The 25,737-nt window shown below is 46.8% G+C and overlaps 2 protein-coding genes across 23 annotated transcripts in view, besides 4 other annotated features; one reads left to right on the top strand and one right to left on the bottom strand.

The window, feature by feature from the left end:
* Positions 1 to 20,101, top strand: part of KCNH1 (potassium voltage-gated channel subfamily H member 1) — a 455,835-nt gene extending 435,734 nt beyond the window's left edge. For 4 of the 5 annotated variants that reach the window (NM_002238.4, NM_172362.3, XM_047419829.1 and 1 more), the window contains one exon: positions 14,277 to 20,101. In NM_002238.4, coding sequence (NP_002229.1) covers positions 14,277 to 15,134 — 858 coding nt within the window. In that variant the 3' untranslated portion in view covers positions 15,135 to 20,101. The remainder of the gene's footprint in view (positions 1 to 14,276) is intronic. The other variant, XM_047419823.1, reaches the window with a different exon arrangement.
* Positions 1,615 to 1,704: an enhancer, noted in NCBI's record as "active region_2481". NCBI's record gives its function as "activates an Ori minimal core promoter by ATAC-STARR-seq in GM12878 lymphoblastoid cells {active_cell/tissue: GM12878}" and the evidence as "EXISTENCE:reporter gene assay evidence [ECO:0000049][PMID:35858748]".
* Positions 7,736 to 8,236: an enhancer, noted in NCBI's record as "H3K27ac hESC enhancer chr1:210863521-210864021 (GRCh37/hg19 assembly coordinates)". NCBI's record gives its function as "activates a minimal SCP1, AML or CMV promoter by ChIP-STARR-seq in primed H9 embryonic stem cells {active_cell/tissue: H9 hESC(primed)}" and the evidence as "EXISTENCE:reporter gene assay evidence [ECO:0000049][PMID:30033119]".
* Positions 13,151 to 13,200: an enhancer, noted in NCBI's record as "active region_2480". NCBI's record gives its function as "activates an Ori minimal core promoter by ATAC-STARR-seq in GM12878 lymphoblastoid cells {active_cell/tissue: GM12878}" and the evidence as "EXISTENCE:reporter gene assay evidence [ECO:0000049][PMID:35858748]".
* Positions 13,381 to 13,580: an enhancer, noted in NCBI's record as "active region_2479". NCBI's record gives its function as "activates an Ori minimal core promoter by ATAC-STARR-seq in GM12878 lymphoblastoid cells {active_cell/tissue: GM12878}" and the evidence as "EXISTENCE:reporter gene assay evidence [ECO:0000049][PMID:35858748]".
* Positions 22,125 to 25,737, bottom strand: part of HHAT (hedgehog acyltransferase) — a 348,963-nt gene continuing 345,350 nt past the window's right edge. For all 18 annotated transcript variants that reach the window (XM_047424804.1, NM_001122834.4, NM_001170564.3 and 15 more), the window contains one exon: positions 22,125 to 24,127. In XM_047424804.1, coding sequence (XP_047280760.1) covers positions 24,036 to 24,127 — 92 coding nt within the window. In that variant the 3' untranslated portion in view covers positions 22,125 to 24,035. The remainder of the gene's footprint in view (positions 24,128 to 25,737) is intronic.

The raw sequence follows: 25,737 nt of genomic DNA, 5'->3' as shown, positions 1-25,737 counted from the left end.
CATCTCAAATGCCCTGTTCTCCTGGACTAGGAACCCACTTTGGCTTTCTCCAGACCCCTTGGCTCTTGGGGATTTCCCACGGGGTAAGCTGTGGGAGGTACCAGCCCATGGTGGTCAGAACAGATCTTGGTGGGGCCAGTCTGCAGTGTTTATGCTCCTTCTGCCTCCTCCCCAACCAAGAAAGCCAAGATTGGGCATATCTGCTTCAAGTCTGTGGGCTGGGTAGCTTATAGGTGTGGAATGGGAAAGCTAAACTGTCCAGATCCTTAACTGCTTTCAACCTTTAGGTCAACTGAAATACTTAAGGTTACTCCTGGAGTGAACATACCAGCCTTCCTGTTCTATATTGGATTCAGGACTAACTTTTGCCATTTGTGTATATTGACAGAAGGAGAGAAAAGCAATCCACAAACTGGCTATCCATATACCTACAATGATAGCATGTGAAAAAATATGTAGAAATGATACAATTGCTTGATATGCACCACAAGTCCCCTAATTTTGCATTATCTGCTTCCTGAAAATTAAAATGCCACTTTCCCAGATGCATTGATGTGGATTACCATACCAGGAACAAGGATTGCCGGGCATGTGTGGCTGATGGAAGCAGAGGAGGGGCCTTGGAAATATTGCCCTTGGCAAACTGCATGGCCATGCTCCACATAGGGACTGGGCTCCAGGAGTGAGGAGCCACTAGTCCCTGAGCCCTGGCCATGGGCCAGAAGGATACAACCTCCCCCACCCGCCATGGCAATGAGTGGCAATAACATGAGTGTACAGTCTGCCAGGGTCAGACTAAGGATTTTGTGTGAATGTGCAGTTTGAGAAACAAATTACTTGCCTTGCTGCCTTGAAAAGAGGAGGACCTCAGTGCATGATCTGGGATTGAAATCAATGCATCTCACATCTCCATTTGGCAAGAGCATCTTGCAGGCCTGCGAGAAAGATAGACGAAGACTCCTGAGGGAAAAGTTGAACTCTCAACCCCCAGGCCTGGAGCCCAGTCCCCCTGCAGGAGGCAGCACGGGGTCTGGGTTATCAGCAGTCACAGTTTAGCATAATCCTCAGGGGAGTTCAGTTCATGTCCTAGCACAAGCTCAGAGCCTGGTATAAGCAGGTATCCTGCCCATGTTTCTTGGGCCCAGCAGGAAGACCCTCTTAGCCCTCAGGTGCTCAGCTCTCTCCAGGGCTCTGATGACCTTCCCAAGCAAAGAAGCATGAATTTTTTCCCTTCCCAGGGCCCTTTAAGCTCTGGAACCTGTGGGTTCCCAGCCCTGGTGGCAAAGTTTGGATATCAGCAGACTTGGGTTCTGGTCACCCACTGACTGACTGAGTAAACCATCAGCAAAGGACCTCTCTAAATCTGAAATTCTTCAACTTTGAAAGAGGACTAATAATAGTTTCGACTTCACAGGCTTGTGGTTGAGAGTTGGAAGATAAGGTATGTAAAATGGTTAGCATCAGCCTGCTCAGGAGATGGCTGTGCATTACAGTTTCACCCAAGACCACAGTTGGGCAGGTGATGATTCATCAAAAGACAGTACTTCTAAGATAGACTTGGATAAAACTCTGCCCCCTTCCTTGCACAGGCCTCTATGCAGGCTGTTCTCTGAAAGCTTTAGGAACAGCAGATCCTCTGAATGAGAAAAATAGACTGAGTAGCAAGGAAGAAACATGCCCTCTCCCCAAGTCCTGGTAACCAAGGAAACCGAGAGAAATTCAAAGCCTTGATTACTGACAGTGGCAAGGGTGACATTAGCCAGTGCCCCCCATAAAATGAGGACTGAGTTACCAGGTGGGAGTTCAAGTGTCTTTCCTTCTCATGCTACTAGTTTCTTTGAGAGAAAGGTATCAGCTCCCACTATAGGTTTCAGTGGGAGCATCTACCCCCTTGCTAGGCTTGAACCGGAGCGCCCTCCTGCACACAATCACTCAGGACCCAGTCAGGAAAACAGAAACTGAAACTATACTAATTTTTTAAGAGAGGATTTAAATCATGGAGTTGGAGTTGAAAGGCTAAAAGAGCAAAAAGGGATGCTGAGGACACCCAGGGATTAATAATGGAAATAATGGAAATAAACAGCATTCTCTACCAGTGCTGGGAGCGCAAAAGGGCAGTATTACCAAAACCTAGGAGGCTGGAGGAGGGGCCCTAGCTTTGGTGAGTGGGTGCTCCATGCAGCCCTCTGAGAAGGGGGTGTTGCATATCTTGTGCCAGGACCTCTGAGGAAGAGGCACGTGTAGCTACTCCCCAGACTTCTGGGAAGAGAGCTTGGCTTGACCTGTGTCCCGGAGAATGGGGAGAGCTGTGGAGCTGCACCCTGACTGCCCAGGTACACAGCTGAGAACTGAAGAAGCTTGTGCAGGGAGTGACCAGAGAAACTGCTGGAGAGTGGGACTAAAGCTGACCACTGCTGCTGGAGCCATACTACAGGAGCTGAAAGCAGGGAGGAAGCCCCTTCTCTCCTCCTCCCGCCTGTCAGTCTGCCAGAGCTGCCACTGGCAGACCCTAACAGGAAACTAGCCGGCAAGGGAGTCTGGGTAACTGACTGGCCAGTGCCCAGCCAGCGGAGTGTGGAGGGTGGACTTGGTGCTAATTGGCAATACATAAAGAGCTGATGCACACATCCTGGGGCTCACTGTCTCACTTCATCCTCATATTTCTCTTGTAAAGCATATTATTTCCAAATTATAATAGACAAAGACAAAGAAGTTAATTGACTTGCCCAAGTCATGCAATCTGTCAGTCCCCAGATAGTCACTGAATGTTTGCTGTGTGACAAGCACCCTTCTAGTTTTGGGGTCACAAAAATGAACAAGGCAGGGTTTATTCTAGCAAGGAGACTTATCATTGAGGGAAGGAGGGACAATGGGAGTAGGGAGATAATTCAAACACATAAAAAGATAGATAGGTGAATATATTGATAGTCTCAGGTGCTAAAATTGAACACAGTGTAAATATACTAGGTGTTAATGAGAGGTAGGTTAGAAATGGTCCAGGTCCTAAGGGACTGAAGTCAGCACTATATACCAAGAACTCAAGTGAATGACCAGTTACCATTCTGAGTCACCATCACATCTGTAAACTGGGAATAATGCTCTCACAAGTGGAAAAATTCCTCATGAAAGCACATTCAACAGAGCATCTCCCAGAGCTGCTGTCATGACTAAGCTGGATAAAGTAAAGGACTTGAGTTGTTGGTGGCAGCTGCTTAGGAACTCTCCATTGCCCCCTCTCATTAGGAGAGTGGCGTCATGGCCTGGTGGCCCCATCCATGGCTAAGAATAGAGCAGTGCCAACTCCATAAATCAGTGTCAGCATTCTAAAGAGAGGTTGGATTGCTCTAGAACAGCCTCTGAACCACCATCCAGACTCCAAGGAGAAGCAAACACTATATGGGCGCTGCCCCCATCCCCCTTCCCTTTCTCATTCTCAGTTGGTCCTTCTGTAAAATACAGCTGTTTCCCAGATCAGCTCAGGCTGGGAAAGCTGTTGGATCATCAGCTTCTAAGAGGAAGCGTCTTAGCTTTCTTTAAATGTGGACCAACTATCTCATACATTGCTCTGTATTCAGTAGGCACTGCATAAAGAGTGTCTGAATGGCTGATCAGAGCTGTTTCCTTGTGTAATGAAGTTTTGGAGAGAACGTCACCTCTCCATAAAGAAAGGACCTGAGGCTTAAAACCCCAGTGAAAAATTTAGGTTTGGTCAAAGAATGGACGTACAAAGCTGTGAAGTCCTGTGAAATCCATCACAAAACAGAGGCTCTCCCCAGGGGGCCTGGGACTAGGGCCTGCCCAGCTCCAGGGGGATTCCCTGGGAATTTTGGACTGCAGACCCCTCACTGGCTGAGAGTTTCTTCCCCACCTAGGGGACAGGCTGTGGCTCTGCTCCCCACTGGGCATATGCCCTGCAGACAGAGGGCTCAGGCAGCATGGATGGGAATACTGCCTACTCCCACCACCCTTCAGCTGTTTTTGGCTTCAGATCCAGTGCCTCGGGCCTCTACCCAGGATAAGATACCTGTCAGTCAGTCACTAAGGGGAAAAAAAAGCAGGGGGAGTGAGGGCCGGGAGTAGCTGGTAAGAGGAGATAAGTGTGCAGCTGGTACACTGGCACCGAGAAGGGACATCTTGTTTGCTGAGCGTGTGTGTGTGTCCTCAAAACATGAGAATGAAATATGTCCTATGTGGCAGTCTTACCCTATTTCCCCTGTCTTTACCGGCATGGTCTTCATTCTAGGGGTTCTAGGCTTTCCCATTATGCACTGTCAGAGTGAAGGGGCAAAGACAGGAGTCCTGAGGGCTGCCCAGTGAGGCCACATGCTTCAAGGAGCTTTTAATGGAAGTAGGGAGAGGTTCAAAGATCCAGTCTGTAAGACTTTTCCTCCTTTGAGGGATCAGAGTAGAATCTCCTGGGAGTGGAGACATAAGCGGGCAAGCAGGCTCCTAAAACTGCCTCTGGAAGGGCTAAGGGAAGGCTTGTGGTTTGCACATGCTTCCATCTGGTTCCTAGGATGGGGGACAACATTAGGGGCCAAAGCCCTGTAGGAGTGAGTTAGTTAGCATGCGTCTCCCAGGGATACCCACAAGGCTGCAAATGCCCCTCAGGGACCTAGTGCAGGTGAGGCCACAGGTCGAAGTTGGTCTGTCAAAAGAAGATGGCCACCAGTATAGGTGGGGACCCTCATAAGAGTGAATAAGATGATGTAAGATGATGCCAGTCTTCATGGGATGGCACTGATGAGTCAGACAAGTCATTCTTGATTCAGGTTCAGATGAATGAGGTGCAGTTTGCAGCTCATATTTGTTTCTCCTTACATCATGAACTGGTGTGTATGTCTAGAAGTGGGCCATGTTGTGTTTTATCTGTCCACTCCTCTGCTTCCCTGGGCCATCCCCTCCATATCTGTGATTAGCTTTAGTCATAGTCTTCTACCTGGCCTCTCTTTGGTTGCTCCTCCCACCCACCCAAGTGGGGTTCTGATTCCTACCGGCCTGATTATCTACTTCACCTGCACTGAAGAAGAACTAGGTGGGAAGGGAGACTGCTCTGGCTAGGACAGTAGAGTTTGAGGGGTCTCTGAAACACTGATGTACCCATGCTTAGTGTGGGAATATTCAGGCTGGGACTAGAAAGAAAAGCAGCATTGGTTTATAAATGTGAAGGGAGGGGGGCTTCTCTCATGTTATTTCATTGCAACTCCACAGGAAGAGGAAGTAGGAACTTTGTACAGAAGACAACTAAGGCTTCGAAAGATCAAGTAATTTCCTCAGGGTCTGAAACCAGCACACGGCGGGTGTGGGCACTTGCATCCATTGTCTTGTTGGCTTCTATGCCGGCTTCAGCTGCATGAGGGTGAATACTGAAGCAGAAGGGAGAACAGCTGGTGGAGGCCTGAGCGCAAAGGGCAGGGCTGTGGACAGGGCCTCCGTTAGGGGAGGGAGACAGGAGGAAGTGGTGAAGCAGACCTTGTGCTCTAGTTTGAGGGCTGCCATACAAACGACCACAGACTTGGTGGCTTAAAACAAATTGCTTCTCTTTCACAGTTCTGGAGGCCAGAGGTCTGAAATAAAGTTGTCTACTGCCTTGGTTCCTTCTGGAGGTTTGGAGGAGGATCCATTCCAGGCCTGTCTTAGCTTCTGGTTGCTGTCGGCAATCCTTGGCATTCCTTGGCTTGTAGCTACGTAACTCCAGTATCTCCTCCGTCTTCCCCATGGCCTTTCTCTGTGTTCTGCATTTTTCCCTGTCTCTTGTAATGACATTCATCACTGGTCTAGAGCCCACTCTAATGCAGGATGATCTCATCTTGAGATCCTTACCTTGCTTACATCTGCAAAGAACCTTATTCCAAATAAGGCCACCTTCTGAAGTTCTGAGTGGATGTGTCTTTTGAGGGTCATAATTCAGTCCACTACACTGAGGGAGCACAAAACAAGGAGAAGGTGACAAATGTGGCCCCTAGTGAAATGCCGGAGGATAGCAACTCTTGCACAGCAGCGCCATCTCTTCCCTGAGTAGCAACCCAGGGGCACATCTCATTCTCTGGATGGCATTGAGAAGGAAGGATACTCATCTGTTTTGGGTTTGGACCTTCCTGAAGACAGAGGAACAGGAGCATCTCTGGGAGTCTTTCAGGCCCCAGGTTGGTCTGTCAAAAGTAGATATGTCCAATCCACCTACTGCCCATGCCCACCAGTCTAGGAGGGGCCTTATAAGAGTGAATAAGATGCCAGTTAATAAGATGATGGGATGTCACTGATGGGTCAGACAAGTCATTCTTGATTAACGCCAGAAGAAAGTGCAGATGCTGCATGGTGGTGGGAGGGGCCTGCCTGTTAGCAGTGTGCTGAGAGCCAGTGGACCAGGTCCCCTGAGAACAGAACAGCTCTAGCCTCTAGGGTTTTCCTGGATGAAGGCCACTGGGACATCTGTGCATTCCTACTCCTCCTAACTAGTGCTGGACCCAGAGGTCACAAGTGGCCAACAGGGTAACTGGTAACCTCAGCATCCTCCAGGGAGGCAGGATTTTCCAATAAGCCAAACAGTTGGGCTCATGTGTTGCTAGCCCTCTTTTTTACCTTAATCAATCAAAGTCTGGGTTTCACCCTAAGTCATTGGTCCATCCTGACAAGTTAAAAGACCACACAGCCGAATGCATCTAGAGAGGCATTCCCTCTTTAAATCCTCTGGGAATCTCGGTTTCTTGGCCTCTTGCCTTCCCTTAGCCAGATATTCTACTTCCTAGTGCTGCCCCTGAATTCTTTAGAGAAGTTGCCAATGGACACAAAGACACTAGTGGAGGTCATCAACATATACTGAGAGAAACTGTCCTTTGTCCTAAAACCCAAGGCATTTTCCCTAGAAGAATGGCTTCATACATGGTGTGGGCAGGGACTCAGGTTGCCCGGGTTTGGCTCACGGCTCCACAGCTTTGTCCTCTTGGGTAGTCACTTACTCTTTCTACACTCGGTTTCATTATTTGAAAAATGAGGATAATAATGTACCCACCTGCTGGGGTTTCATTAAGGATGGCACAGGTCCAACATTTAACACAGCGCCTGGCACATTAGAGCTCTCCATCAGTGTCAGCTCCTCTCACCAGGACTGCCCCACAAAGACATTGTTCTTCCCTGGCTGGCATTTCTGCCTTTGTGTCTTGGCGTGGGCTGTTCCCTGTTTGGAACACCCTCGCCCAAATCCTTCACCTTGTGTACCTAATTCTAGCTCATCCTTCTAGAATCATCTCAAGCCCCCACAAAGAGTAATACATAATACATTTACTGAGCAACTATTAAAGTCAAGCACTCTCCTTAAGGGCTTACTTACATTATCCAACTTAATCCTCATAACAGTTCTGTGAAAGCAGTTGTATTCTGTGCTGAAACTGAGGTTTGGGGAACACGATCCAAGTCCGCCTGACTTCCAAAGCGTGTGCACATGCCATCACCCCATGCTGACTCCACAGGCTCCTGCCCTCACCCTCCCACCCCAGGCCCACTTTAGCACTTTGTGCTTACACTGTGAGTTTACTGCTGTATCTCCCGAGCCTGGCATCTCCTGGAGGACAGTGCTGTGCTTTGCTCCCTCCAGCTTCAGGCCAGGGTGCCACACAGCCTTAGCCGAACAGGCCTAGGTCCCTCTGGGGCCCCCTCCCCTCCTCGAGGCTCAGGGCCTCCCATGTTCTGGGCTGTCATGTATTCATCATGATACCGAGGAGAAAATGTAGCATTTGATTCCATAGTAACAGAAGTGATCTTTCTGAGGGGGTTGAGAACTGGCCTTTTCCAAAAGTAAAACCCAACCAACTGCCTCATCCTATCTGCCCATCTGCAGTTTGTTTTTCAGTGTTTTAAGTTTCTTAAATGGCCCAGTTTGTTAATCTTCATGTTTTATGCTCTGCCATAAAACCAGGCAGGGTGACTGGTGGAGGAGGCTGGTGGGTGAGGAAACCACGAGGAAAGCTACGTCAAGTGAGCCTGTGGGGATATTATGGCCCTTCTGACGCTCGGCCACTCAAGGTGCCTGAGTCAGCACCAGCATGGACCCCAGCTCTGGGAGAAGAGGCCTGGCTCCTACTAGCAAGGAGCTATACAGTGTGTGCACCCTGCTGAGTGCTCTCAGACAGTGGTTGCTCAATAAATGTTTGCTTGGCTTTGTGTACCCCAACTCTAGACGGCTTTGTGTACCCCAACTCTAGACAGCTTTTTGTCAGATCTAAGAAAGAAAGAGTTAAAGGTGGTTGCAGGGCCTGCGCGTTTCCTCTTAGTCATCCTTCAGGGACCAGAGGCTGAGGGAGAGACTCACCAGGGTCATCCCCCACTCCAATCCCAGGCAGCACCTAGGAGGGCTGAGTCTGGCTGGAAGTGTGAGTACAGGCAGAGAGGTGCACAGGAAGCTGGTGTGTGTGGCCATGCTCATGTGTGAGCACAAGTCCATGCACAGGGGACAGCAGAGTAGCAGTGACCTCACCATCCATCCATCCAGGGGTTCTGAGAGCCTGGTCAGCAGACCTGGGTCAGGCTGCCCATGTCAGAATCACCTGGGAGTTTGCTGCAAATGCCAGTTTCTAGCCCTGCCACGGGAAATTCTCACTCACTAGAGAACCTCTTCAGTGGGTTCTGACGTGTAGCCAGATTTCAGAACCATTGATCTGATACAACCAAGGAAGGATATAACTTTCCCAAGGTCACACAGTGACTGGTCAGTGGCAGAGCTAGGACCACTCCAAGCCAGTGCTCTTTCTACTGCTGAGCATTTCAGACTGGGGACGTGTGTCTGAACCCAAGAGAAAATCATCTAAATCCTTTTTGATACATCCATAGATTTCAATGACTCACACCTCAGCCCCTGCTCATTTATGCAAACCACTGAGGACTGACATTACATATGTATTTTTATTCCACAATCTGAGTTCTTTTAAGTAAATGTGCTCCCACTTGGGTGCCCTCCCCACATCGTCTTGCTGTCAGGACACCAGCAAGTCCATTCCCCTCCTAGGCCTGCCTTTCCCCCATGCGTGCTGCTGAGACCCCAAGGGGACAACTCCTCAAACTCTAGCTAGGACCAGGCCAAGGGGAGAACAGGTTAGGCACGAGAAGAGCTGGGCCTTCTTTTAATGTAACCCAGAAGAGGTGGTCGACTATCCTGACTCACGTCAGATTCCAGGGGTATTGGTTTTTCAAACCAAGTTGAAAATAATTACTCAGAAATCCCTGTAGCTTAAGGATCTGAGTGTCAATTCCATTCAGCTCAACAACCATTTAAGTCTTCCCAGGCTCAGGGCTGTTGGCTTGGTGCGACCTCAGAGGGATGCCAAGTTGGATGAGCAAGGCACAGCAGCATCCCTGCCCTCCAGGTGTCCTCTGTCTCTAGGTTGCAATAAGTCATGAGCTTCTCAGCATTCTGAGCAACATGTCAGGCTAGAAAAATATATGCCCCTGTGGGCTGGCAGGACTCTAGCTGGATCCAGGAAGGATCTGGACTTATCCCATTACCAGTGCCTTGAACCCATGCCAGGAACAGAGTAGTTTTCTATCACCAGGGCTGGGCCTTTTGCAGTGGAACAACCTCTCCAGACAGACCCCAGCACCTCTCTGTTGGTGTGGTCCCTGACTAAGGATCTGTGATGTGAAAAAAGAAGGCAAGAGCCAATGAGCAGTTGTCCTCATTGCAAAAATGTTTATCTCAGGGGTACTTTTAAATGTCAGCTCTCTGAGCTCATGTAAGAGTTCAAAAAATAAAATCAGCCAGGAAGAGATGATGAAATCAGTATGAGGTCAGCCTGCAATGAGGATGAGTGAAAAATGGAAGTCCTTTAGGGTTTTATTTTCACACCATCCTTCAGGAGCCTATGTGTGGTGCATAGAGAAGTTACCTGTGATCTCTTTTTCTCTCTCCCCATTAAACCACAAACATTAGAAGCAGATTTTTGGAGGGAGGGCAATATGCATCACTTCTTTTGGCTTCACAAACAGGGGGATGGCTATAGCCACAAAGTTTGGATTGATCCTGGCCTGTCCACCAGGGGGTAATGCATCTGCAATGGAGTCCTCAAATCTCAAATTCCAGGGGTTCAGTGAATGAGTTAGAGACAAGAGGTCCCCTTCAGTTGGAACAGGAAACAACTGACCATCTGTTAGGGCTATACACAAATACAGAGAGCATCCTATACCCTACACATTGATATAATTTTAGTGTTTTCCAGACGGGGTTCTTTCATTCAAAAGAGTGGATCTGGGGGAACTGGCTTAAGAAATGCTGCATATAATGTCTTCCCCTTAGACATTCGTAAGGCACATTAGCATGTTAAGGCTCTGAGAAGTCCTGCAGTAAAGCAACCCATTTAACATTGCAGTGTGACTCAAACTTACCTAACCTTGGAACTTTTCCCCCTCATAGTACCTATTAGAGCATCATGGAATACTTTGGACACACTTGTTCCCTAGACCTCCATCCATCACCTGTCCAGTACAGGGAGCATCCTGAGTTAGGGAGTTGGGAGTCATGCCCATCGTTCCCAGGATACACTCTTGCCATGGGGAGCTGTGGAGCATCTCCAAGCAGACGGAGAGCTGCTGTGGCTGGTGCTGGTGGCACAGACCTCATTGTCATGAGTCATACAACCACTCCTGCCCACTTAGATCTAAAATACTTGGCAAAATGCGTGGTCATGGCTGCCTCTGAGACAGACTCCGTGACTAACTTCTCCAGAAAAGCAGTCGAAGTTAGTAAGCAGAGCCCTTGACTCCAGGTCAGCAAAGCTGTCAGACCACATCAGCTCTGTAAAAACTCCTTTTGCCTTGTCCCCTGGGGGTTGCTGGTTTTACCCCTCTGATTCTCAAAGGAAGAACCAGGCATTTCTGCAGGGTAGGAAGCTCGTCCCTGGCTCACCTGTCCATTGGTTGAGACAGTGATGTTCAGGGGGCTGCCTAGCACACAGGATGATGGAGGGCAGCCTAAGATGACACTTTGGAAAAAAAGCCTGCACAGATCCAGAGACCCATGGTTCCACCAACAGGCCCTGTCATTGAGTGTCTGAACTGCCCACGTCGACCACTCAGTCAGAACACCTGAATACGCTGGCTGGTTCAGTCCAGGATTCTGACCCATGGGGCCTCTGGGTGACAAGCACAATATAGCCACACCCTCAAAGAGGAACTCCCACTTCCCCTCCCAAATGTCCACCATGAATTATGTTAAGCCTTTGCTGTACAGCCTCTTGGGATCCGTTTTGCGTTGACTCCTCAATATCTGAAGAACTTCCTTTTCATAAGTCTTAGAACATCTCAAGTCTCAGAGGCTGCCCCTGACCTTTGATGTTGAGGGAGATGTGTGTCCAGGCCAAACCCTGCTTTTTATAACATTGACTATGACCTCTGTGATTTCTTCTTTCCAGGAAGAAGATATTCTCCCACGGATTCATTAGCCAATATTTATGTGTTCTACATTCCACAAATATTTACTGAGGGCCTGCTAGGTACCAGGCACTTCAAACAGCTGGAAATTGGGAACAAAATGGAAAATCATTGCTCTTTTAGGGCAAATAATAAGCAAAAATTTAAAAAGTAAAAAATACAGTGTGACCTCCAAAGTACTGTTCTAAACCCTCAGGGACCTTTTAGGGGGATAAGATATGTTTGTGTTCAGGAATTGTTGCTTACAAGGAATAGACTCACCCAAACTTGCTCAAGTGAAAAAGGGGGATAGTGTTAGGAATCAGATATCCTGCAGATATAAAGGGCAGGAAAAGAGCAATGAGCTCTAAAAGCCATCATCTCTCTTGGGTACATTCACATTCTCACCCATTTCTCTCCTTCCCCTTTTCTGCATTCCTTCCCTCCATTCCACCTTCCTTCCTATTCCCTTATTCTCTCCTCTCCTCTCTAAGAAGGCATGTGAGTAGGCAGAAGAAAGTTGGCCTCCCTACTACAAATAGATAAAAGATAGAGAGTAACTAGGACAGAAGAACAGTCTGACCATAGAAAGGGCCATTGGAGTTGGGAGGTAGGAGGATAACTTAGAGCACATTGGAATCAGGGAAGACTTTCTGGAAGAGGTGCATTTGCGCTGGGTCTTGGTGTGAACAGGATTTGGATGCTCAATGGAGAGCAGAGGCCATTCCCAGAACAGAGCACAGTGTGTACAGAGGCATCCAACTCAGAGCACAGAGTGAAAAGGGTCCCAATCACTCTACTTATCACTTTCCCATCCCCCATGAGGCCTTTAGTTGGGTTTCTCTGGCCCTCTTCAGGGTGGACAGGATTCTCCTGAGTCCCATTTCTTGGATCTGCAAGGCAGACTATAGGGGCAGTTGGGGTACAGCTAAGGAGGGGACCAGAGGAGGCAGGGATGGGAGAAATGCTGCCCAGTGGAGGTCAGAAAGCCACATACTGGAACCCAGGTAATAGCTGGAAGATTTAACCATCCATCCACCTGTGTAGTGACCTCAGTGTAAAGTCAGCCAGTGACAGAAACTTTAACCAAGAAGTTAGAGCATAGACGTGGGCCTCTAGTCTGCCAGCGATTTGCTGATGGATTCCTAGCATCAAGCAATTAACCGTTTATTTGGCTTCTCTGTGTTGGGCACTATAAAACAATCATCTTGTTGGTCATACCTGAGAACCTGCTGGTGATAGCATGGGGCAGGGCCTCTTGGAGGAGGTAGGGTGAGTTGCTTGTCATCTTCATCTGGGGGCTGTGAAAGGTCAAGGACAACAGGAGCCATTTAAGCATCTCCAGTGGGCCAGTGATTTCATATAAGTCATCTTGTATCAGCTTTATACCAAGTCTGAAAAGTAGAGATTTTCCTCACTTTTTAAGGAGGAAGCTGAGACTCAGAAGTTAAGATACCTCTGTGAGGTTCCACAGTCAAGTAATGGGGCTGGGACTTAAACTTAGTTCTTTCTGACCCCAAACCCCTGCTCCTGGCATGCCACCACGTGTGCCTCCCCAAGACTGGCGGTCCTGTGGCAAGTCCCTGGGACAGGTTTTGGGTGGGTCTAAGTGGCCTGCCCAGGGCACAGAGTTTTCCAGATTGGATGATGAGAAAGCTGCTGTTCTCCCTTACCGCAGGCCTCTCCTCTAATTCTACACAATCTCAATACCTCTAGTCCTCAAATCAGAAATTTACACTAAAAAGACAACCTATTGCAGGTTGCCTCTCACGAATTCAAACATGATATGGGTCAAAACACGTCCCAGAGTCTAACTGCCACATGCAATGTAAGCTAGAAATTTTGGGGCTTTCCCATAGTCAGATGCTGACCCAGGGGAAGGCCCTGTAAGCTGTGGCTTATGCTGCACTCAGGGCCAAATTCATGAGTCTGTTTTGCTGATGGTCCATCCTCTGCGTGAAGTATTGTCACCATTAGTCATTACCTGCTGGCCACCTAACGGATCTGGGGTTTGATACCTTGGGTACAAGTCCCTTCTAGGCAACTTACCTGTTATGTGATATTTAGCCACCCTGAGCTGTGGTTTACCTTATCTCTGAAATGGGGATAATAACAGTTGTTCCAGTGACCTTACAGTGCTGTCAAAAGGAATACATGAAGTAGCATTAAAGTGCCTTGTGACCTGCAAAGCACTGTCCAAGTGATGGGTATTATTGTTAGGACAAGTTTATGTTCAACTTTACAGATGTTAGTCTACTGTAAGCTCCCCAAGACAAGGACTTCCGTGTGAGAATGACTTTTACTTTTCACAGCCAACCACATTCACTTAGGGTCCAGATCTGTGGGTGGCATTGGAAACCTTAGCTGTAGCCTTGCCTGGGGACTTTCTTGCCCTGAAGTGTGGTTTTAGGCCAGAGATGCTCAAACTTTTGTGCAGAGATACTAATGGAGTAGGTCTGAAGTGGGGCCAGAAAAGTGATATTTGAAAGGCTCATCAGATGCTGCTGAATTGCAGACAAGGATGGATTTAAGGGAGGCCAGGCACAGAGGCTAGGACAGTCCCCTGGGAAGATGCTCTTTGGATTCTTCAGCCTCCTGGCATGTGGAGAGGGGAAAAAATGGGATGTGTTCCTCTTGAAGGGAATGACAAAGGGAGTCAATTCCCTGCTGTTGGAAAGCTGGGAGCCAGTGTCAAGAAAAGGAGGGTGATGTCAGTCATAGAGAAAAGCCTCATGAGGCCTTGTAGGCTGTGAGCCCCAGCCTCTTGGTGGCAGGTGGACTGGAAGCAGAGGGCCAAGATAGGCAGAAGGGCTGAGCTGGGCTGCTGCAGCCAGCATGTGGCTAACACGCCATGTCATTCTCTCTCTCTCTCTCTCCAGATTGTGTTCCGGAAGATCAGCGATGTGAAACGTGAAGAGGAAGAACGCATGAAACGAAAGAATGAGGCCCCCCTGATCTTGCCCCCGGACCACCCTGTCCGGCGCCTCTTCCAGAGATTCCGACAGCAGAAAGAGGCCAGGCTGGCAGCTGAGAGAGGGGGCCGGGACCTGGATGACCTAGATGTGGAGAAGGGCAATGTCCTTACAGAGCATGCCTCCGCCAACCACAGCCTCGTGAAGGCCAGCGTGGTCACCGTGCGTGAGAGTCCTGCCACGCCCGTATCCTTCCAGGCAGCCTCCACCTCCGGGGTGCCAGACCACGCAAAGCTACAGGCGCCAGGGTCCGAGTGCCTGGGCCCCAAGGGGGGCGGGGGCGATTGTGCCAAGCGCAAAAGCTGGGCCCGCTTCAAAGATGCTTGCGGGAAGAGTGAGGACTGGAACAAGGTGTCCAAGGCTGAGTCGATGGAGACACTTCCCGAGAGGACAAAAGCGTCAGGCGAGGCCACACTGAAGAAGACAGACTCGTGTGACAGTGGCATCACCAAGAGCGACTTGCGCCTGGACAACGTGGGTGAGGCCAGGAGTCCCCAGGATCGGAGTCCCATCCTGGCAGAGGTCAAGCATTCGTTCTACCCCATCCCTGAGCAGACGCTGCAGGCCACAGTCCTGGAGGTGAGGCACGAGCTGAAGGAGGACATCAAGGCCTTAAACGCCAAAATGACCAATATTGAGAAACAGCTCTCTGAGATACTCAGGATATTAACTTCCAGAAGATCCTCTCAGTCTCCTCAGGAGTTGTTTGAAATATCGAGGCCACAGTCCCCAGAATCAGAGAGAGACATTTTTGGAGCCAGCTGAGAGGTCTATTTAAAAAAAAAGTCAGAGACAGATACCTCCAACCCTGCCGTCACCACCACCCCTACCACATATGTCCACATGACCAACAATTTTCAAGTAGGCTTTTCCTAACAGAAAAAGTGGGGCCAGTGGCTTAGACGTGCTCTTTCTCTATCTGGAAAAAGATATGGGAAGGGTAGCGTGCCCCTACCCTGCAAGGTGGCAGCTGCATCTGAACCGTCTTTGCACAATTTTGGAAGAAGGGACATGCTGTCTAAAGGGTATTTTCCTTCATTTTTAATTTTTTACTACCATGATATTTGTAAAAGATTAAAACTACCAGAACAGAGCAGCAGCCATCTGGGGACTGGTGGGAAAGTGCCGAGAACCTCTCATGTATATACTATGCTGGGCTCCTTTGCCAAGACCCCCCATGGACTGCAGTGGGCCAAGGACTTCCCGGCATCCCCGTCCTTGTACAGCCCGTGTCTGACGTCACCATGTTTTCCTGTAGTTGTCATTTATAACTAGCTCGGGACAAGCAGAGCTTGAGGGACAGGAGGGTAGAGCTCAGAAACTTTCTGTCTCATGGTTAAGGCCAGAAAAGCAGCTGCAGGTGTGGTGCATGCCTCCCATAGACACTTGAAGCTGGGAATCCTCAGGTCTCCTTCCCCAAAGGAGGTGAGGCAAGGGTAAGAGCTGGAGAGGGGCCCTTAAGATCCAGGGGTTCTCTGCGGTGCAACCCATAGCCTGCTCCTCTGGGACAGTTGACAGGGAGGGCTCTGGAGTGCCTGGCTGAGCCTCTGGCCCTGCTCCATGCTGCTGGCCTCACACACAGGCTCCCTTGCTTCTGTTCCTTCTTGGCCTCTTCCCAAGTGTCCCCATGGCATTCCTCAGGGTATGGAGCATCGGCAGGAAGGGTCATGAGCCCAGAGTTGCTTTATTAACAAAGCAGACACACAGACACACACAACCTCAGAACTGTAGCAAGTGCTATGTTTATACTTTGATTCTCATTGGGATTGCCCTGCAGACCTTTGTATTTTGTTCACCGCACGGGGTCATTATAGGCACTTGGGAGCCATGCTGGGCCTTATTTTAAAGCCAGTCTCTCTATTTCCTATTAAAGTCAGTAGGATTTCAAGAGAAAATGGAAAAAGACTGCAGGATCATGATTGTACTCTCTTCAGGAGCTGGAAAGAGAATGAAGCAGTGAGTTTCCAGCTCTCTGTAAGGTGATGGAGAGAAGTGGCCTTGGAGCTGTGGCTCCCAGTGATGGTCACAGAACTGCGTATGGGCCATCCAAGCCCCTATGCCACGATGCTCGGGGACACTTCACTGCCTCATGGTCACCTAAGTCAGGTTATTCATGTGCTTGGGCTTCTCTCAATGGCATCTGAGAAAGGAAAGGAGTGAAGTCTCTTCCAGGCACAGTGGAGCTGGCCGGGGCATATGCCCTAGAGAGAGGTGTCAGGACCCCAAATACTGACACGCAAGGTTAGAAGTTCAGCTCTGAAAAGTCAACTTGGAGGGAATGGAATTAGGAGTACAGGTGACAGCATGGACTTATCCAGGGAGCTTACCTTTGCCTGTGTTAGACGGTGACCCCATTCCTGGTACCTCTGCCCTACCAAAGATATTCAGTGTTTCTGAGAGCCTCCGGTCTGAGACTGCCCACCACCCCACCCCACCCCACCTCCTTAGTCCTGCCCAGTGCTCACGGCGAGTCCCAGGGCTGGGCCCTCGGTTGTCTGTGCAAGGCAGGGCTGACCTCTCCTGGTTCGCAGGGTTGGCACAGATGGCCCTGGGAAGACAAGGCCTGCGAGCTCAAGGGAGAGTCCTGCTCCATGAGCCCTAACCTCATATGTAGCTTCTCACATCAGGCTTACAGGGGCTGCCCCTGGCTTCTCCAGGTTGCGACATAATTAGATTTAGCCTCAGATGGCGGCATACAAGTAAGAGGAAGTCTAATTTCCTAAGGCCGAGTCACAACTATCTGTGACTTTGAATAAAGCTGTGAGGCCTTCAGCCTCTTTCACTTGAGAAGCTGCCAACCAGTCCTTGGGTAAGAGGCCGTAAAATATCTGGAATCCCATCTGTTGGCTGCCCCCTAACATTCTAGTCTGCCATTTCTTAAACATGCTCCTCAACCTGCTTCTGAAGTTTAGGACCCACCACTTTTAAGGCAGGGCAGGCCTCTAATCACCCCCAAAACCCAGCCTCAGAAGAACCTGCCACTGGAGACACTTTTTTGCCTCTCAGCTCTCCAGGGACTTGATGACAGGCTTCTTGTCTGGCACCCAACGGTCAATGTCAAGAGGCCCTGCCATTTCCCTCCAGCTCTGCCTGAGGGAGACGGATGTCCGTGAAATTTCTCAGACCTCTGGGTATGAGGGGCAAAGATGGTATAAGGCTTTGAAGTCCAGACATGTTCTTGGGGGGAATGTAGCTTTAGGAATGCACTCGTGAATCAGCGCAAACTGGGCTCATGACTGGAAGCCAGCTCCTGCGGCAGGAATCTGTTCATCTTGGGTCACAGGTGCACGTGTGGGTGCATGGGCTTTATTCTCCTGTAATCCTCCCTAGGATTTGAGGGATTTTTTGCTGTAATTGTTTTCTTTGAAAAAACATTGTGTAAATGAGCCAAACCTTTCTCCCTTCCTTTTCGCACCATGAACTTGACCGCAGGCTGCTTTGTGCTGACTGCCTTCCCATGCCAGGATGCCACTCTGGGTTCCCGAGCCAGGACCATGTGCCTCAGATACCAGTGACCTGAGCCTTCCAGTATAAACCATTATCTGGTGGCTGGAGAGAGATTAGGGAAACAAAAAGTTACTAGGTATGGGACAGAACATTTAGACTTCAGAAAAAGTATGCCAAGAGAGAACAGATTTGCCCAGGATGTATGTTTTTCCTCTTTGAGGAGTCGGGGCATGATATGTGGCACCATTATCTAGTAAGTGCTGGTTATTTGATTTCTACTAAATTCTTTACTTTGAATGTCATTCATATTGAAGCTCCATTTCCCAGAGAATATCCTGACAGGCTGCTTTGAAGAGGGTAGGTCCTGTCCCTGTCACTTGGCTGCTGGTTGAACGTGCTCCTCCCGGCTGATGGAGGGGTGGGTTTAAGGTTAACTCTAAGAACTAAGATGGTCAATGAGGTGGTGTTTGTTCTTGGTGGGGGGGCATTGACTCCAGCAATGGGCGCTGCCATCCCATATACTTACAAAGGGCTCCTCCACTGGACATGACAAGATAGCCAAAGGACGGAAACAGAGACGACCATTTGGTTGAGAAACCAAATTGTCTAGTGTACAATTAATGCAACTCATTGCATTCATGAATGCAACTCATTGCATTAATGCAATGCTACATTATGCTAATAAGGTTACAACATTAATGCTACAGGATAGCCCAAGTATTTAAAAAGCTGAGCCCATTTAGCAGCCTTCCAGCAAACTTTTGGAAATGCATTTCTTACTTGATTTCTTCTTGTTATCCAATCCCTGGGGACTGTTTTACCCACAACCTCTTCGATCCAGTGTGCTGCTGTTGGCCAAACATCAGCCCCTTTCCTGGAATCCTCCTCTTTCAAAAGTGGGGAGGGCTGGGCAGGGGTAAAAATGTACTATACCACCCCATCCCATTCAGCAAGCTTCCTCTCCAAATCCTTAAATGGAAGGTAGAAGTATTATGCCAACTGTCAAGCTCTTTGTCCAGGCCCTTGTGGGGACTAAATGAACTCTTTAGGAATACTAGGTATAGGAAGACTAGGTATAGGAAGATTCTCATTTCCCCTTGTTGCACTGACCACTATGTCTCCCATGCATACTCTGGGAAATTTTAGGAGCCCTGGTGGAGATACACGTTGCTGATGTGCATTTGATTAATAGGTTTTACTATGTCTTGCAATAAAGACGTTTAGCCTTAAGACCCTTGAATGGAACTCCAGCTGTGATAGAGCTGCCAATGCCCCTTCCTCTCTCCTCCCTTATCACCTAGTGTTGCTTAAAGAGGAGGCCATTGAGGGCACACTTGATGCCCCAGACAGCCTCCCTCTGTTGCTAAATCATTGTTATTGCTCTATATACTGCCTTCTCACTCGCTTCAATTAAAAATTACCTTCACCAGCTCCTGTGCCCTCCACCTGGGGGAGACTTCATGATCCTCTCAGCACTGACTGCAAACATCAGAGAAAAAAACATTTTCTCACCAAAGGTGTTCATGTTGAGAAGTTTTAATTTCTACCCCCTACAGCTCAAAAGAATCAATGTGAATTTATCTGCAGCTTAAATTCAAGTGAAACTTCATTCTCATGCAAGCATATCAGACTTATTCTGGAACCTCTAGAACTGGACTTGAATTCCCTGCAGGTGCCAGACTGGTGGGTGCCCTCCCTGCCTGCCATTAAACTTTTCTTACAGCCACTGTCCCTTTATCTGTGACTTCTGAGTCATCCGACGGATCCATTAGTTGTTCAATGAGAAGTTCACAGATCTTGTATCAGGATATAAACTGATCTTATGTTGAAGGATGCACCCTCCCCTAATGAATGTATTCTCTTAATATTCCGATGCTGTATTTGTGCATCAGTTGGAGACTGTCCACATCCGACATTTCACCGACACCTCAAGGACACTTCTACTTATGAGCAGTTCATCATTCTGGGGCTTCTCCTTATATTAATACTCTTTCCATTGAGTCCTGCCAAATCCTTTATTGGGTTTTCTTTTTCCTTTGCATCTGTCACTTTGTCCAAATGAGCATGAATAAACAAAAGTGTAAATGAGCTGATACTATTTTTGTGGTCAGCTGAGGATGCTGCCAAGAACACCACTGTATATCTGTGGCTTGGGAATGTTAAGAGGAACGTGCAGGCCCTTCCATTGATGATATTCCCTTCTCAACATTTTTAAACAAGCACAAATGATATTTGTAAAAAAAAAAAGTTTTATTTATTATGGTAATAAACTATTTTATACATGATACTTGCTTTTGCCTTTCCTTACATTACTTTTAGGTCACTGAATTGGCTGTTCTGACCTAAGATGACAGAACAAGGATGGTATTTTCTCTTCAAGAGTTTGGGAAGCTCTTATTTGGACAGCACTTATAGTTTTTTGAGAACTTAAAGTCCAAGATTCACCAAGATTGTGTGTCAAAGTACCAAATAGTGAGAGAATGGACATGAAGGTATGCAGCTGTACAATCTTAAAGTACAGCTGCAGCTGCTGTACAAGGGCACAGATGTTGACTTCAGTGCCTGGGATCACGGAAAACTGTATGACACACGGATCTGAGATACCCAAAGCTGACACCTCCCACCCCACTTAGATGTACACTTTTTTATTTTGAAAACTTTGGATTGAAATTTGTATAAAATATATTAATGCTTCCCTCCTGCCTTTTAAAACGTAGTATGAAGAATATAACAATCTTTTTTGAATGACTCAGTGTCTACAATATGAGCTCTGATCTGTGCTTTACACTTCATTGATAGTCTCAGAAGCTATTAAGTTAGCTTGCCTCTAATCGAAATAGTCCCATACACCAGCATGGTTTCAGTTTTGCTATTTTAATCGGTGTTGCTTCCTGCTCATGGCAAGGCTCCACAATACTGCCAACCTGAGTCCTTATTTACCATCCAGTGGACCACATTACAAACATGGCACTTCTCTTATTATAGACAGTATAACTTAATTAGGAGATGAGGAATCTGACCTACAAGCGTCTACTTGATCTTATAGGATCACAGTAGGGGTACAGTATTTTTAATGTTTCCTTACCCATGATTTAATCAAATTGCACAAAAGCATTATAAAAATAATAAGGGTGATATTGTTTAAAATTCCAAATTATTGATGTTTCAAAATTATCACTAATAACTTATTATTCTTTTTTTTTTTTTTCTTGAGACAGGGTCTCACTCTGTTGCCCAGGCTGGTCTCAAACTCCTGACCTCAAGTGATCCATCTGCCTCAGCCTCCCAAAAGTGCTGGGATTACAGGTGTGAGCCACCACACACAACCTAAAGCATTCTGTCTGATCTCTTCAATGTTGCAAAACATCTCTGTGAATATGATTCTTGTAATTAGTCAAAAGGACGAGTAATATAGAGCTAAGTAATGAATGCCATGTTTTGGGTGCCAAATGGAGTTCAATGATTTTAAAAAGAGGGTTTTTTGTTTTAAAATAAAACCATTTCCCTGAGAAAGCCTCAGAGAGGCTTTCTCAAAATGTGCTGAGGCCAGTAGTATCATACTTTGGCTTCTCATGTTGTCCACACTGAAGGGAACCCTATTGTATGGATATATTCTGATACATCTGCTAAAAACCAAACTCATTATATTACGGTTAATTTACTATGTTTAGTCAATGGTTATATTATTATTCTAAATAAGCAAGTGAGCAGTCTCACTTTCTGTCAGGAGAAGCCACCCCCTCCCCTACCTAAACTGCTATTCTCCCAGTATATAGATTATAATACAATTATTTGTTCATTGATTTATTTTTTCTTGAGGCCTGCTGTCTTTAATGAAACAAAATGTTTTCTGCTGACACTTCAAATTAATTTGAAAAAATAATACCTTTCAGTCTTCTTGTGTGGTCCCAAGAATTAGAATGACTGAGGTTTGGGTGTCCTTCAGGTATCTTGCTTCCCTCCTTGGGTAGCATCTTGGCGATTGTGCTTGGAGCTCTTGGGCTTGCCTGCAGAGCGAGGCTGGGATCAGAGGATCCAGGCGCTGGAATTGACCTTGGGACCTTGTCTATTCTTTTCCCAACACTGCGCCTGAAGTTGCCCAGGGCTGATGACATGTCCAGTGTCATTGCCTGAACTCCTCTGTGCGCCCAGGCACCACCATTCAGAGTAACTACAAGATTTTAGTGAATATGCATGAGGAGAGAAGCATTATCATTTTCATATTACAAGTGGGGAGTAGGAAGAGGTTAAGCAAAACAATGGTCCTGGATAATCCACATATTAATTAATCAGCCTCAAATACAGAGCTAAACACAGTAATCATTTATTAATTCCTGAGAACCATTATGAATCATATAATAGTTTAAAAGAGATTCAGGATTACCACTTTCAAATATATCCACTGACGCTTCCAAAGTAGTTTAATGAATGAATAAACCTATTTGTTTGTATATAAATGGTATACTTGGAAGAGCTCAAAACTTTTGTATTACTTATATGTGCACATACATTAGACACTTCCCTATCATCATTTTTACTCCCTTTTTTCTTAGCAAGCCCTTTCTTTCCAAGTAAACTTCAGTCAGACTCCCTCTGGCTGCCCACAAATCCTCAATCACTGTTGGTCCATGAAGGTTTACTGCGTTCATTTAGGTGCTCACTCCTCCCTGAGGCTCATCCCCTCCTAAAACTTCTGAGCACCCCGGAATTACTGGCCCCATGTCTCTCTCTCTCCTTTACCAAGACAGCTGCTGAGGCTGCTGCTATGCAGGTCTACCTGCCCCTCTCTGGCCTCTGTCTTGCTTTAACACATAATGTGCCTACCCCAGGTAGTCAGTATCTGGCCCCCTCCCATCTCTTTGCCAAGCAGAGAAGCTATGAAGAAAGACAATCAACAAAATGGTCCTGTACTCTAGGAGCTAAAGCCTCATTGAGATGATAACCTCAACTCAAGACATAAGGGCCATGCTATGTAATAAACAGGAGGCAGCACTAGGTCCAAGTGAACCTTTCACTCAATGACAACTTAATTTACGTACTTGAGATGTTGTAAATTCTCCTGTAATTAGATATATTATGGATTCAAATTTTAAGCCTCCTTTATACCCTTCCCCACTCCAAAAAAAAAAAAAATCCAAATTCAAACAAGTCTTCTGAATTATCTACCACTTGGGAACTTTGGTAGCCTATCCAGCATCTTTTCAGAGGAGTGAATAATCAAGTTATGTGAGTATATTTAGATTTTAAACATTTTCCTCAAACATATTCAAAATAATTCTACAAACATGTAGATTATCTACAGGACAGAAAAGGCTCTGTTTGAATCAAACCTTAATAATATAAACCACTAAACGTGAATCACTGAGTAGGAGGATGACTTTTGAGACTTGTATGGAGAGGGTGGACAAGACTCCAGGACACCATCCTCATGACTGGCCTTGATAACACCCATCTGTGGGTACACTATCCTGTGGTTTCTAAATTCTGCTTCTTTATTAAGAAACGATTAACTGTAAGGTAGAGGAACTACCATGTTATACTTCTCTGCAAATCTCAGAAACAAGCACCCAAATGTAGATCACCCTGCTGAAGCTCAGATCACAGGACTCCTTGGGTATAGATGCCTTAGAATGCTACAGGGCTGCTACCGTCTTCTTCGACTACGTAATTCAAAAGACAGCTGTGGCTTGGTCTCATTCCTACAGAGGGGCTGAAGCATGAAACTCAAACCCTAGTGCTGCTTCTGGAGATACTGCAGGATGTGATGAAGGAGGTCACTTAAACATCAATGTCACTCAAATATTTTAGAAATATTGCCCAGAAGACAGGCCTATCACTAATCAGGATTTCTGTGTCTCAATCAATAAATTTCCACTACATTCTATTCTTGCTTAAGGGGAAAGAATGCAAAGGGCTCATGAGACTAGGTTCTAGACCAAAATGTCACCCTGTGTAGCTGGGTAAGACACACGACTGCCCTGGACCCGTTTCCTCAATAGGAAAATGATGAGTTGGGGTAGAAGATCTCAAAGACTCCAGATTAGAAGATTGTCTGGCTGTGAATTTTCTATGAGATCCAGCATCCAGTCTTGGAGTGAGGGCATTCAACTGAAGATGAGCAGATCAAATCCCTTAGAGGCTGTCCTGGAGTGAGAGGTCAGGGTGAAGCACTATTTGCCTTGGAGGCCAGCAACAAGGACTGGCCTGGGCCCAACAGCATTAGTCCGTGGCGTAGGTCTGGGCCCAGGCAATGCCCACGTGGGAGTAGCAGTACAGGAATCCCAGGACAGAGAGGGTCACCCAAGGCCAGCCTGCAGAGGGAGGACAGAGATGGAAGAGCAGTTAGAAATGCTTGGGGCAGGACATCCCACATGGGCAAACTGTCCCCTTTTGGAGAAGGCAACCTGACAAACAACAAAGGCCTCCAGGAAAGTCTGCTGTAATGACAACTTCAGCAATTGAGTCCTACATTCCCATCAGAGTCAGCATAAAATGAGGAGTGCACTATTGCAAACACAAACCATGTTTATGACGAGTTAGTGGGTGCAGCGCACCAGCATGGCACATGTATACATATGTAACTAACCTGCACAATGTGCACATGTACCCTAAAACTTAAAGTATAATAAAAAAAAAAAAAAGAAATAGGGCAAGCTTTTAACGAATCCATGTTTAGAGCCAGGCACCTGTAATCCCGGCACTTTGGAAGGCTGAGGTGGGAGGATCACTTGAGTCCAAGAGTTGGAGACCAGCCTGGGAAACATAGTGAAACCTCATCTCTACCATAAATAAATAAATAAATAAATAAATAAATAAATAAATAAATAAATAAATAATAAATAAGCCAGGCATGGTGGCATGTTTCTGTAGTCCTAGCTACTTGAGAGGCCAAGGAGGAAGGATCACTTGAGATCAGGAGTTAGAGGTTACAGTGAGCTATGAGTGTGCCACTGCACTCCAGCTTGGGCCACAGAGTTAGACCCAGTATTGGTTTAAAAAAAAAAAAAAAAGAAGAATCCACGTTTAGAGGACTAAAGCAGTTAGTAATTGAAAAAGGAAAAAAGTCCATGAGTCTGAGTGTAGTCTCATGTGGCACTGTAAACATGTAGGTCATGTTCCAAAATCTGTACTTTTAGATGAGTTGTTTGAAATCAGGGTACGTTTCCCCCTAGAATAATATTGTGTGATTCATGGACAAGACACAAAAATCACCGTCATCATCACCGTTGTGTGTTTTTTTTTTTAAACTTGTAGTAAATGTGAAATAACACTAATAGGAGCTCTGAGCCCTGGGGCACTTAGGTTCCAGAAGCCCAAATATAGGGTCCTCTGTCCTTCTTGGTCAGCCTCCCCAGAGGTTTCAAGAATTCTAAGTGGTGAGGGGTGGGATAGAGACATGCAGACGTGGCTTGTCCTTGGCAATGAGACAGGAAGGCGCCAGCAGCCAAGAGGGAAAGGGTGCCGGGCAAGATCAGGAGGGTCATTTGATTGGGGCATCACAACATTTCACAGAGAGCTTTATAAATTTAAATTTTTGACATTTCTTTTGAATATGGCTAGCTAGGAAGTCATTACCTTTGTCAATCCAATTGTGTGTGTTAAAAGAAACGAACGACTGTGAAATGTAGGCATTTACAATGAACTACATTTTTTTCTTAAAGTCCATGAGTCCCATAGTAAATCTCAAAATGTAGATTAAGCATTATACTGAATTTAGTGCCATTTGTAAGCACACAGAAGGGGGAGCCTAAATTAAATATTTGCTTTCAAAACTGAAAGCTTTTAGTGATTCCCTCTACAAATACTTGTCTTAGAATATCTGATGTTCTTTTCTTTTTCTTCTTTTTTTAAAATTAACAGCCCTTTCTGCTGAGTATTTGTTACTTAACAATCTTCATGTCTTCTGCATGTTTCACTTACT

Source organism: Homo sapiens, chromosome 1, assembly GCF_000001405.40.
Source record: "Homo sapiens chromosome 1, GRCh38.p14 Primary Assembly".
Lineage (NCBI taxonomy): Eukaryota > Metazoa > Chordata > Mammalia > Primates > Hominidae > Homo > Homo sapiens.
The sequence above is the reverse complement of the archived record's forward strand: the minus strand, read 5'-3'. Positions and strand labels throughout refer to the sequence as shown.